Raw genomic sequence first — 13,360 nt, 5'->3', positions numbered from 1 at the left:
CCGTGCCTGGCCAACTTTTTATTTTAAAATTACTATAACTATAAATCACAGGAATTTACAAAAAAGTACACAGGGAGGTCCCAAGTACCCTCGCCCAAATTCCTCCAATCCTGAGTTTATTCAGGTTTCACCAGTTTTGTATGCAAATGGGACTTGAGTACGCTAGGATTTATATGCAGTATGTGTGTGTGTGGTTGTATGAAGTTTTTATCACGTTTGCAGCTTTGTATAATCACACCTGAGACACAGAACTGTTCCATCCCTACACAGCTCCCTCATGCTACCACTTTATAACCACACCACCCCTCACCTCCCATTCCTAACTCCTAGCAACCACTAAATCTGTTCTCCATCTCTGCAGGTTTGTTATTTCAATAATGTTACATAAATGCAATCATACAGTATATAACCTTCTAGGGTTCTCACTTGTTTTCACTCAGTATAACTCTCTTGAGATAACCTGGCAGTACAAATCAGTTGTCTCTAATATATTAAAATTTAGCATGAGATGCATTTGACTGTGTTTAAACATTTATAATATTTTAAAGTTAAAACATTAAAATGTGAATCAAAGGTGTATGAAATCCCTGTTTCATTGACAGAGAACAGGGATTCTGAGATACAAATTTTGAAAACTGGGAATCTAATACAAGCCTAGTACAATGTAGTACAGGTTGAGTATTCCTTATCTGAAACAGCTTTGGAGCTGAAATACTTTGGATTTGGGATTTTTTCAGATTTGGGAATATGTGCATTATATACCGGGTTGAGCATCCCAAATCTGAAAGTCCAAAATCTGAAATGGTTCAAAATCCAAAACTTTGAGTGCCAATATGACACTCAACGGAAATGCTCACAGGGGCATTTCAGATTTTGGATTTTTGGATTAGGGATCCTCAACCAGTACAACAACTTTATAGAAGAAAAGCCCAAGACTCAGTGCTATGTCTTATCAGTGTTTACAAGAGTACATGGTTTACAAGAACGCCTGGTTTTGCACTTGTTATGGGCAAGATCTAGATTCTGGTTCTTTCCCAACCCAGTTGAGTATGTTACATTCAAATATGACCACTTGCTATTCTTCTCAAATGACCACAGTTTGCTACCCCTTCAAGTTCTTCCTAATGATTGAGGAAATGAACTCCTCTTAAATTCCCAGATCTGTGTGGCGCTTTAGCTAGCACCACACCTCAGGTCCAATTCTCCTGTCTTTATATGCAGCAGGTCCACAGGACAAGGCCTCCCTCAGAAAAAGCTACCCCAATCTAGGACAAAAACAAACTCTTTTCCCTCCCCCTCCCTCCATGTGCCCAGAACCCCTTTCTCCTTCCTCCCTAGGCTAACCTGCTAAGTCTTCCGGATAGCTCACTACACTATCTGATAGCTAACTGGGTGTGACAAACCACGTCCTCACACCTTAGAAGGCAAAACACTCCAGGAACTTACTTCTGGAATACCAATACCTTCACAGTAATTTCCCTGCCTTTCCAAAGAGTGCTCTAAACAGGTAAAAGCTATAATACAAACTCTATATATTTTTGTCACAGATACAGAAACTGGCACCATCGTTTGCATATTTTAAAAATCTGGTTGATATGGTTATCACTCTATCAATATTAGATCTAAATGGAATTTAAAGTAGTGGTAAAAGGCTGGGCGTGGTGGCTCACACCTGTAATCTCAGCACTTTGGGAGGCCAAGTGGGAAGACTGCTTGAGGCCAGGAGTTTGAGACCAACTCAGGCAACAAAGTGAGACCTGGTCACTATGAAAAATAGAAAAAATTAGCTAGGCATGGTGGGGTGCGCAACTGTAGACCCAGCTACTCAGGAAGCTGAGGTGGGAGGATCACTTGACCTAGGGAGGTTGAGGCTGCAGTGAGCCATGATTGCACCACTGCACTCAGCCTGGGGAGACAGAGTGAGACAATGTCTCAAAAAATTAAAGAGGAAGGAAGGAAAAGAAAGAGAGAAAAGAAAGGAAAGGAAAGGAAAGGAAGAAGGAGGGTGGGAGGGAAAGGAAGAAAGGAAGACGAAAGAGTAGTGGTAAAGAGCTTGGACTCTTGAGCCAGACTGCGTGGGTTAGAATTAGGCCTCTGCCACTGTACTACCTGGATCAAATGTTAGTCTGAGTGGCTCAGTTTTCCCATCTGTAAAATGGTGATAAAAGCTACCTGCCTCATGGGACTCTTGAGAGACTTCAATAATGTATGCAAAACATTTAGAACACTGCCTAGCACATAGTGAGCATTATCTGTAAGTATTAACATTTATCTCTACTACAGTCCAGATTCACTTCCTTGTGATATTTCTCTATTCCTCTTGGACTCTTTTCAGTTCAACCTGCTTCTGAAATTTCCATACCAAGAAACAATGATAATGTTAAGAATTTTATTTCTGAAATTTATCTTGGTTAGTCAAAACTACTAGAACAAATTCTCTTTTACGTACTAGCAGTTATTAACATTTCACTAAATATGAACATAAGCATTTAAAGTATGGGAGCAATGGAACAAATGCCAAGCAAAAAGCAGGCTATCAATAAGGACGCATACACGATACACCCATGTTAAAAAAAGGGAATCATATGGTCACATGGATGTTTGTCTATGTGTCAAACGGCTCTGAAAAGTTTCACAGCGGTCTACTGAGAGGGAGAACTGTCTGTTTGGTGGAAGGGATATGAAGGAGACTTTTCACTGTACATGCTTTGTTATCTTTCAAATCCGAAGCAGCGAATGCATTACCTAGACAAGAATTTAATTTTTTTTTTTTTTGAGACAGAGTCTCACTCTGTCACCTAGGCCGGAGTGCAGTGGCACGATCTCGGCTCACCGCAACCTCCACCTCCTGGGTTCAAGTGATTCTCCTGCCTCAGCCTCTCAAGTAGCTGGGACTACAGGCATGCGCCACCATGTCTGGCTAATTTTTTTTTGTATTTTTAGTAGAGACGGGGTTTCACCATGTTAGCCAGGATGGTCTTGATCTCCCGACCTCATGATCCGCCCACCTCGGCCTCCCAAAGTGCTGAGATTACAGGCGTGAGCCACTGTGTCCGGCCAAGAATTTAATTTTTAAAATGGGGGTGCAAAGGGGACTTTAAATAAGTACTCTGGAAGCCAGGTGTCAAGTCTCAATTTGCTACTACCTGTGCTACCTTGGGCAAGTCACTTAACCTCTGAGTCTCAGACAAAGCAAGGAGCAGTAAATAGTTCTAGGTTCTTTTTTTTTTTTTTTTTAAAGACAGAGTTTCCCTCTTGTTGCCCAGGCAGGAGGGCAGTGGCACAATCTCGGCTTACTGCTACCTCCACCTCCCGGGTTCCAGCAATTCTCCTGCCTCAGCCTCCCGAGTAGCTGGAATTACAGGTGCCCACCACCACGCCCGGCTAATTTTTTGTATTTTTAGTAGACAGGGGGTTTCACCATATTGGCCAGGCTGGTCCTGAACTCCTGAACTCAGGTGATCCACCCACCTCAGCCTCCCAAAGTGCTGGGATTACAGGCGTGAACCACTATGCCCAGCCCTAGGTTCTATTCTAATTCTAAAAGTTTTATTATCTCAATGGGATAGTAAATAGATGGTACTTTTAAGATACGGGAGAGGTAGTAATCCAACATTTTGTAAAATAAGGCAACTTTTTTATGGACTTGATTTTCAAATGCAGTGGACCCTTGAACAACACGGGTTTAAGCTGCGTGAGCTCACTTATATGTGGATCTTTTTCAACCAAATGCAGACCGAAACCGGCATATATGGAGGCCCAAATTTTCACATTCAGGTTCTGCAGGGCCCACAGTGTGGACTTGGGTATGCCAGGATTTCAGTAAAAACAGGGGTCCTGGAACCAATCCCCTATGGTATATGTTCTTTACATATACCATAGGACAACTGGACTATTTTTACAGTTTTAAGAAACGTAGATTTGTCAAGCCTATTAACCTTTCCAGATCATTTGTACTATTCTTACATAGAAACCCTTCTTAGAGGGGGTCTTATATATAGAAAATACCTACATAGAATATTCTGCATATTACAGCCGGACGCGGTGGCTGATGCCTATAATCTCAGCACTTTCGGAGGCTGAGGCAGGCAGATCACCTGAGGTCAGGAGTTCAAGACCAGCCTGGCCAACATGGCAAGACCCTGTCTCTACTAAAAATACAAAAATTAGCCGGGCATGGTGGTGGGCGCCTGTAATCCCAGCTACTTGGGAGGCTGAGGTAGGAGAATCACTTGAACCCGGAAGGTGGAGGTTGCAGTGAGCTGAGATCATGCCACTGCACTCCAGTCCTGGTGACAGAGCAGCGAGACTCCATATCTAAAAAGAAAAAAAAAAAAGAATATTCTGCATATTAGTTTCTCTTGCACAACTTCAAAATTGTTTTAAATGAACACATCTTTATACTATGCTATGAAGTCAGCAATAAACTACATTAAAACAATTAATGTTTAAAGATATAAACAAGTATGTACAAGAAACTTAACTTAAAGGCATTTATTATCAAACACTGGAAAAAAAAGAACATCTCCAATCAATGGTAACAGCTATAACTGAGGACAGGCTTTATTTCAGGAACATACATGTATCACTTTTCATCATAACACTAATCTGGCAAAGTAGGTTTTTTTGTTTTTCTTTTTTTGAGACAGGGTCTCTCTCTACCACCCAGGCTGGAGTGCAGTGGCACCATCATGGCTCACTGCAGACCTCTGCCTCTCAGGCTCAAGTGATCCTCACACCTCAGCCTCCCAAGAAGCTGGAAATACAGGCATGCGCCACCATGCCCGGTTAACGTTTGTATTTTTTGTAAAGACACGGTTTTGCCCTGTTGCCCAGGCTGGTCTGAAACTCCTGAGCTCAAGAGGTCTGCCAGGTGTCAGCGTCCCAAAGTGCTGGGATTACAGGTGTGAGCCACTGCACCAGGCCCTAAGTAGGTGTTAAAAGCCCTATTTAACATAAGAAACTGAGGCACCATGAAGATAAGGCCACAAGCCTAAGAACTGGGAGAGGTGGTAGCCCACCCAGATCCCTTAGATTTGAGCTCAGTGTACCAAACCAAGGGGCAGGGACTGCTAACTGAATGTTAGCTGGCAGGCTGGTGCAGGTTTGCAGCAGAGTTTTCACCGATTTATGGGAAAATGGGAAAAAGTAAGGACACGAAAGTAAACTTTTTTTTTTTTTTTGAGACAGTCTCGTTCTGTCACACAGGCTGGAGTGCAATGGCGCGATCTCGGCTTACTGCAACCTCCACATCCCAGGTTCAAGTGATTCTCCTGCCTCAGCCTCCCGAGTAGCTGGGATTACAGGTGCATGCTACCATGCCCAGCTCGTTTTGTGTTTTTAGTAGAGACGGGGTTTCAGCATGTTGGCCAGGCTGGTCGGAAAGTAAACTTTTCCATATAGCTAAATGATTCCATTTAAAAATCTTCTATTCTGAGAGATTCTGTTCTTTCAAATTGTTTGAATGGAAATATCCTTTTGTTAAATGAAACGATGATGACAGGAGATAGTGGTGTGTTATTGTTTTTATTGGCTGTACCTGGTAGAATTGAAAAATCAGCATTTCTATTGTAGCCTACTAATTTCAGTGAAATATTTCTTTAGAAATATAAAATCTGGAACTTTCCATCATTATGCCTCCCCAAAATAATAGAGGACTTTACACACAGATAACACCTGCCTCTCAAGATTCTCTCATTAATCTCTACCTTATTGTGTTTGGATTAAGACACTTAGGGCTTGTGAAATGAGAATAAAGTGAGTTTGAGCAATCCAAAACCACGTGCTGACTCTGGATCCTGGAAGATGACTTTCTTCAGAATCTTTATCTGTTAACTTTCCTCTGGACTTAAACTTTGTTTTCCTAAAAGAGTTACATATTTGAGTACTACTGCTACACGGCAATCACTACTCAAAAGAAACTAACTTGAGGTGTCCAATAATCAGCTTTCATTTAAAGTCTCTTTCAGGCTAGGCGCGGTGGCTCACGTCTGTAATCCCAGCACTTTGGGATGCCGAGGAGGGCGGATCACGAGGTCAGGAGATTGAGACCATCCTGGCTAACATGGTGAAACCCCGTCTCTACCAAAAATAGAAAAAATTAGCCGGGCATTGTGGCGGGCGCCTGTAGTCCCAGCTACTCAGGAGGCTGAGGCAGGAGAATGGAGTGAACCCGGGAGGTGGAGGTTGCAGTGAGTCGAGATCGCGCCACTGCACTCCAGCCTGGGCGACAGAGCAAGACTCTGTCTCAAAAAAAAAAAAAGAAAAGTATCCTTCAGCTTGACAAAATAAAAACTTTCAATGATGTTTTGTCTACGCACTTCCAAAAGAAAATGAGTCTATATATGTACATATATGTGATTATATATATATATATACATATGTGATTTTGATCAGCCTGCTTATAAACTACCTGCAAAACAAGTTGATTTGTAAATTCATTTATTAAATGAGTAGTTTATAAGCTACTTGATTTTTGCAAGTAGTTTATAAACAGGCTGATCAAATTGAACAAATTTCTTAATTTCACTGTATACATGGCAAATAAGTTATCTACTCTTCTTATTAGCAAATCTTATTTTTACCTACCCTCCTTTGGCAAGCATCTAAGTTAAACTATTTTACGTCCACAGCTACACAATGAAACATCACTTTCAGTCACAACATATTAAATTCACATTTAAAACTATAAAGAGATCCAGTTACCTTTAGTCTTACATGTACTTATACATATTTTTAATATACTACTTGATGTTTTATGCACAAACACGCAGCTCTAGCAGGATATAACTATGAGAATATTTAGAGTGTATGCTAAATACACCTTTTTAAAGAAAAGTCAATTTTTTAAATTATTTTTATTTATTTATTTATTTATTTATTTGAGATGGAGTCTCATTCTGTTGCCCAGGCTGGGGTGCCATGGTGTGGTCTTGGCTCACTGCAACCTCTGCCTCCCAGGTTCAAGCAATTCTCCTGCCTCAGCCTCCCAAGTAGCTGGGACTATAGGCACATGCCACCACACCCAGCTAATTTTTGTATTTTTGGTAGAGACAGGGTTTCACCATGCTGGTCAGGATGGTCTTGAACTCCTGACCTCATGATCCACCCACCTCGGCCTCCCAAAGTGCTGGGATTACAGGCGTGAGCCACTGTGCCCGGCCAAGTCAATTTTAAGCACTTAAGCAGGCCAGGCGCGGTGGCTCATGCTTGATTCCCAGCACTTTGGGAGGCAGAGGTGGGTGGATTACCTGAGGTCAGGAGTTCGAGACCAGCCTGACCAATATGGTGAAACCCCATCTCTACTAAAAATACAAAAATTAGCCAGGCATGATGGCGGATGTCTGCAATCCCAGCTACTCGGGAGGCTGAGGCAGGAGAATCACTTGAACCTGGGAGGCGGGGGTTGCAGTGAGCCGAGATCATGCTATTGCACTCCAGCCTGGGTGACAAGAACAAGACTCCGTCTCAAAAAAAAAAAAAAAAAAGAACTTAAGCATACAGTAAGTACTCTTTCCATGCCCCAATATTAAAAGGTCCATTTATTATAGACTACTTGTTTCAAAAAAAAAAAAATCTAAAATTGGTAATAATTCTGCTTAAATTCCATATTAAACTAGGATCAAAAGTCATTTTTAGTTCTTCTTGTTTCTTAAAATACTTGAAATGTGCTGCTGCATAATGTTTTCCTTAAATATTTATTCATTCAACTAACTTTGGGTGGAAGGTACTTGTAAGTTTAAAAGTCCTTTCTGAAAGTGGAAATAACATAACAATGTTTGCATAAAAGACACTCAATGGTTCTCAAAGCGTATCTGAGAGTCTAATCAGCCTATTAACTTTGTTCTGAATAACCAACAACAAATGTGAGCTTTTTGTCACATCTATGCATTTTCCCCTGTAAACTGATACCTACATTTTAAATGCATTTTTAAAATGTTCCATTTGGCCCTATGATAATTATTTCCCCTCTAAAAAGCGAAAGGATTTTGGTTTAAGAGCAAATGAGACAGAGTATCTGGTCCATGAAAAAGGCTAAGTGGAAAGATCAGTTCCCTGAAGTTTGTAACCAATAACAAGAGAAACTCCAATGCTACCTTGTTCATGTAATCAACAATATATGAGTTGAAATAAACTAGTGAGCTATACATTTCTGATATATACCAATTTACCAATCAACAGGAGGGGAAGAAATCGCTCAAATGTGACTACTGTTAACAAACATCTAAATATCAGACATAGTCTCTATTAAAATCGTAACCTATCCATTTTGAAATCATTCCTTCGACTTTTATGTTTTTAATCGCCCCATTAAAAAAAAAGCAGCCACTTTTAAAAGTAAATTCCCCCCTTTTTCAAAGTAACTTGCCTAGGAAAATGTAATGCATTAAAATAAAACATAACAGACAAACCAATTACAACATTAAAGAAAAAACTAAAATGATGAGTAACACAAACCAATCGCTCCAGTTTAGCAAAGGGTGTGTTTTTAATCTGTTGTGGGTATCCTATTATACTAATAGGCAACAACGTTTAAAAGTCATCCCAATGCCTAAAACACCGCCATATACATAACATACTTGTCCTTTACTCCAATGAAGCTTAAACTAGACCCAAACTCAGACCATTTCCTTCTCCTGGCACACTGAAACATACGAGAGGGAATCCAAGAAATCAGATATGTTAAGTGCTGGTATCTTCTTCCACAGTAGGGTCAAATTTGTGTTTGCCAGCTAATGTCACCGTCCCAGTAAGTCTGCAAATTCTCACTAGCGCTGGAGTGCAAAGAGGCCTGACCACGGAAACACCTGTCCTAGCACCAGGAAAACAGTGGGAAAGGCAACCCCGTCTCCGCGCCGGCCCCAAAGCCTCGGCTGCAGCGATCGGGGGAACAAGAGGCCCGCTGCCGCTGGTCTCACGGGTGCGGCGGACAAGGTCCCACACCCCCGGCCCGCCTCCCGAGAACCAGGAAACCTGTCAAGCCAGCCTGCACCCACCCTCCGCAGCCCCCTCGCGCTCCTGCCCAGCCCGGCCCCGGCCCACCCGACCGCTCCGCGTCCGCCCCGGCCTCCCGGCTGCACTCTGCCACCTCATCCCTCCCCGGCTGCCTCGCGGCCCCGCCACCTCCGCCCCGCGGCCTGGGCTCATGCCGCCCCCCGGGCAGGAGCGCCCCGCCGCCACCCCCCACCCGGCCCCGACCCGACCCCGTAAGTTCCCCAGCGGCCCGGTCCCCGCCGCCCCCAGGCCTGAGCTCCCGCCGCGCGCTCCCCACCCCGAGACTCCGCCCTTGCCCCGCTCGGCCGCTCCCGGCCCACTCCCCAAAGCCGGCTACCTGGAGGCAAGGGCGACGGAGCACTTCACCCAGGGCCCCAGGTCGCAGAGGGCCCGGTGCTCGGGGTCCCGCTCCTTCTGCCTCTCCACATGGTAGGCGTAGATGGAGAGCAGGATTCCGGCAGCGCACACTGCATACCGGGCCACCCGCTCCCACCGCGGCACCGACACGCTCAGCAGGACGGCCGTCGCCATCCTGCCGCCGCCGCCACCGCCTCCCTCCGCCTCCACCGCCTCCCTCCGCCTCCACCTCAGCCGCCGCCGCCCGTCGGGACCCGACCCAGCTGCCGCGGCCGCCGCCGCGCCCCATTGGCTCGGTCGCCTGCTCCGGGCCCCGCCCCCACAGGCGCGCGGCCCAACCGCCCCGAAAGGAGTGAGCTGGACGGGGCGGGGAAAGAGCGGGCGGGCGCGGAGGGTGGGGGCGGAGTGCGCAACCGCCGGGGAGGCCGGATCTGCGGGCGGAGATTGAGGCGACGCGCGCGAGGGGTGGAGCCCGGGGGAGAAAGGGGTGGGGCAGGGGCGGGGCAGGGTAGGGGCGGGGCCGAGCGCGCCAGTGCGGGAGGGACTTAGAGGAGCGGTGCAACTAGCACCTTGCAAGGATGCCACTGTGGGTGACTGGGCGAACCCTCGGCCCCTCCCTCTGGGGATGGCAATCAATTGCCATCCTTTTTCCTTTTTTCGTTGTATTTTTCTGACCCAATCCAAATCAACCCTGGCCAGTGCTTGGAGCTCCAGAGACACACACCTATGACCTGATCTTCCCACCACCACCTCCGGGGACACTCTGTTCGACCTGTGCAAAACTTTTTTTTTTAATGTGCAAAACTATGTTTTAAATTTAAAAACTATTTTTAAAAAATGATTCATGGACCGGGTACAGTGGCTCACGCCAAATCCCAACACTTTGGGATGCCGAGGCAGGTGGATCACTTGAGGTCAGGAGTTCAAGACCAGCCTGGCCTACATGGTGTAACCTCGTCTCTACTAAAAATACAAAAAACAAACCAAAAACAATTAGCCCGGTGTCGTGGTGGGCGCCTCTAATCCCAGCTACTCGGGAGACTGAGGCATGAGAATTGCTGGAACCCGGGAGGTGGAGGTTGCAGTGAGCCAAGATCGTGCCACTGCACTCCAGCCTGGGCGATAGAGTAAGAGTCTCAGAAAAAAAAAAAAAAAAAAAAAAAAAAGATTTACGAATGCCTTGCTTCTCCGTAAGCTGAATTTGAAGTTGCTTACCATAACTCATATAATATAGAAAAATAAAGATGAGCTAATACAATCAGGATGAAGAAAAAGAAAAGTCAGAATAAAATGAAAGGCCAGGAATAAGAACACAGATAAGCAGGCCATAGGGGCTTACATAGTTATTAAAATTGCATCATAAATTTGGCTCTGAGCTTCCTGGTGGCCAACACTAAAAGGAAAACAGATGTATGTGCTTTTTCTCACTGTCTTTAAGAAGAAACACAGTGTTCTTGGAGATTTTCAGTGTTTCCCTGGTTGCAGCTTTCAATTTTTCAGGGGCTTTATATAGTGATTTTGAGTAATAAGCAATATCCTTGTATTCGTTATCTATTCTTGGGTAAAAATCACCCCAAATTTAGCAGTTAATAAACAATAAACTTTTTTTTCCCTCACAGTTTCCATGGGCTAGGAATCTGGGTGAGGTTAGCTGTGTCCTCTGGCTCAGGCTCTCATGAGGATACAATCAAGCTGTCAGCCAGGGCTGCAGCTCTCTCAAGGCTTCAGAATCCTCTTTCAAACTCACTTCCACTGCTGCTGGCAGGCCTGAGGTCCTCTCTGGCTGTTGGCTGGAGACATCATTTCCTGTCCACTTCCACCTCTTGGTAAGAAGCAGCAGGCTTACCCCGGGGAGAGGGAGGAGAAAGAGGAAGAGACAGAAAAAGAAAATGAGAGTGAGATCACAGTCCTTTTTTGAAACCTAATCCCAGAAGTGACATCCCATCACTTTTACGTAGTCTATTGCTACTTAGAAAATAGTCTCTAGGTCCAGCCAGTCATGGTGGCTCACACCTGTAATCCCAGAATTTTGGGAGGCCGAGGTGGGTAGAGCACCTGAGGTCAGGAGTTCGAGACCAGCTGACCAGCATGGTGAAACCCCGTCTCTACTAAAAATACCACAATTAGCTGGATGTGGTGGCACATGCCTGTAAACTCAGCTACTTGGGAAGCTGAGGCATGAGACTCACTTGAACCTGGGAGGTGGAGGTTGCAGTGAGCCGAGCTCACACCATTGCACTCCAGCCTGGCTTACAAGGAGAAACTCCATCTCAAAAAAAGAAGAAAAAAAAGAAAGAAAGAAAGAAAAAGAAAATAGTTCCTAGGTCCAGCCCATGCTCAGAGGGAGAGGATTACACAGGACATGAATATGAGGAAGCTATCTACCACAGTCCTCAAAAACATCTTCGCTCTGCCCGGGTGGGGTGGCTCACAACATTTTGAGAGGCTGAGGCAGGAGGATTGCTTGAGGCCAGCAGTTCAAGACCAGTCTGAGCAACATAGGGAGCCCTGGTCTCTGCAAAAATATATACAAAATTAGCAAGGTGTGGTGCATGCCTGTTGTTCCAGCTACTTGAGAGGCTGAAGGGGGAGGACTGATTGAGCCCAGAGGGCTTGGGGCAGGGGTGTGGACTGAGGCTGCAATGAGCCAACATTGCCTCACTGCACTCCAGCCTGGATGACAGAGTGACACACTGATTAAGAAACAAAAACAAAAACAAAAAACAAAAACCTTACTCTACATCCCTAATGATTTTAATAAATCTAAGTGGACTCCTGCATCTTCCCTTCTTATAGATTCCTTTACTCAGTTGATGAGATCTCTTGATCATCTGGCTTCTTTCATCAATAGGTCTGGGAGGTTTACCCATGCTATTGCAAATAGTGATTGTTATTTTTCATTACTGTATAATAGTCCATTATAGTAGATATCCACAATTTTACTTGTCCATTCTACTACAGATGGACATCTGGCCCATTTTTAGCTATCATGAATTAAATTGCTAACAACATTCTATAAATGACCTTTGATGCCTCATAAGCCCTCACTTATTTTTATTTTTATTTTTTAATTTGAGACAGAGTTTTGCTCTTGTTGCCCAGGCTGGAGGGCAATGATGTAATCTCGACTCACTGCAACCTCCACCTCCCATGTTCAAGTGATTCTCCTGCCTCAGCCTCCCAAGTAACTGGGATTAGAGGCATGTGCCACAACGCCTGGCTTTTTTTTTTTTTTTCTGTACTTAGTAGAGATGGGGTTTCACCATATTGGTCAGGCTGGTCTCGAACTCCTGACCTCAGGTGATCCACCCGCTTTGGCCTTGGGATTACAGGTGTGAGCCACCATGTCTGGCCCCCATATATATATTTTGAATGAATGAATGGGCACTCAAAAAATGTTAGCTACTAGTATTTTTGCAGAAACAATAGGCCCACAGCAAATATCTTTTCCCAAATAAAAAGGAAGTCCTCACCACAGAGATTAATTATTTCACCACTCCAGAAAAAAAAAACAAAAGCTTTTAAAAGAGTGTTTTGAGGCAGAGCACAGTGGCTCACGCTTGTAATCCCAATGCTTTGGGAGGCCAATGTGGGAGAATCGCTTGAGGCCAGGAGTTATCAACCAGCCTGGGCAACATAGCAAGACCCCATCTCTACAAAAAATAAAAATACAACATTAGCCAGGCGTGGGGGCACACACTGTAGCCCTAACTATTCAGGAGGCCGAGGCGGAAGGATTGCTTGAGCCCAGGAGTTCAAGGCTACAGTGAGCTAAGATCACGCCACTGCACTCCAGCCTGGGTGACAGAGAAAGACCCTGTCTCTAAAAAAAAAAAAAAAAAAAGAATGAAATCTTGTTTTGCCCTCTGTTATCTGAAGTCCTTCTGCTTTCCTGAGGATGTCAGCATCCATGTGGATGAGCATGCAATTCGCCTGACTCATCATCCCACGTCTTTCTCAGCTCTGATGACCTTTGCTTCCACTCCTCAAAGCCGCCACAGGAATGGCT

The 13,360-nt window shown here is 44.7% G+C and overlaps 1 long non-coding RNA gene and 2 pseudogenes across 3 annotated transcripts in view, besides 3 other annotated features; 1 reads left to right on the top strand and 2 right to left on the bottom strand.

Moving 5' to 3' along the window:
• The window catches only part of CCT6P3 (chaperonin containing TCP1 subunit 6 pseudogene 3), a 36,360-nt pseudogene extending 26,817 nt beyond the window's left edge, over positions 1-9,543 (bottom strand). Inside the window, exon 1 of the transcript NR_033416.1 lies at positions 9,332-9,543. The product of NR_033416.1 is annotated as a chaperonin containing TCP1 subunit 6 pseudogene 3 (transcript). The remainder of the gene's footprint in view (positions 1-9,331) is intronic.
• Positions 859-1,059: a silencer, noted in NCBI's record as "peak6536 fragment used in MPRA reporter construct". NCBI's record gives its function as "represses an SCP1 promoter by STARR-seq MPRAs in K562 erythroleukemia cells {active_cell/tissue: K562}" and the evidence as "EXISTENCE:reporter gene assay evidence [ECO:0000049][PMID:32103011]".
• Positions 4,688-5,200: an enhancer, noted in NCBI's record as "NANOG hESC enhancer chr7:64503075-64503587 (GRCh37/hg19 assembly coordinates)". NCBI's record gives its function as "activates a minimal SCP1, AML or CMV promoter by ChIP-STARR-seq in primed H9 embryonic stem cells {active_cell/tissue: H9 hESC(primed)}" and the evidence as "EXISTENCE:reporter gene assay evidence [ECO:0000049][PMID:30033119]".
• Positions 9,318-9,795, bottom strand: LOC441241 (vitamin K epoxide reductase complex subunit 1L1 pseudogene; annotated as a pseudogene).
• Positions 9,596-9,905: a silencer, noted in NCBI's record as "silent region_18198". NCBI's record gives its function as "represses an Ori minimal core promoter by ATAC-STARR-seq in GM12878 lymphoblastoid cells {active_cell/tissue: GM12878}" and the evidence as "EXISTENCE:reporter gene assay evidence [ECO:0000049][PMID:35858748]".
• LOC105375330 (uncharacterized) overlaps positions 9,636-13,360 on the top strand; it is a 29,588-nt gene continuing 25,863 nt past the window's right edge. For both annotated transcript variants that reach the window (XR_927607.1, XR_001744932.2), the window contains exons 1-2: positions 9,636-9,703; positions 10,971-11,177. This is a non-coding gene — a long non-coding RNA (uncharacterized LOC105375330). The remainder of the gene's footprint in view (positions 9,704-10,970; positions 11,178-13,360) is intronic.

The sequence above is a fragment of the Homo sapiens genome, chromosome 7, assembly GCF_000001405.40.
Source record: "Homo sapiens chromosome 7, GRCh38.p14 Primary Assembly".
NCBI classification, from domain to species: Eukaryota; Metazoa; Chordata; class Mammalia; order Primates; family Hominidae; genus Homo; species Homo sapiens.
Note: the sequence above shows the minus strand (reverse complement) of the source record. Positions and strands in the feature narration are given on the sequence as shown.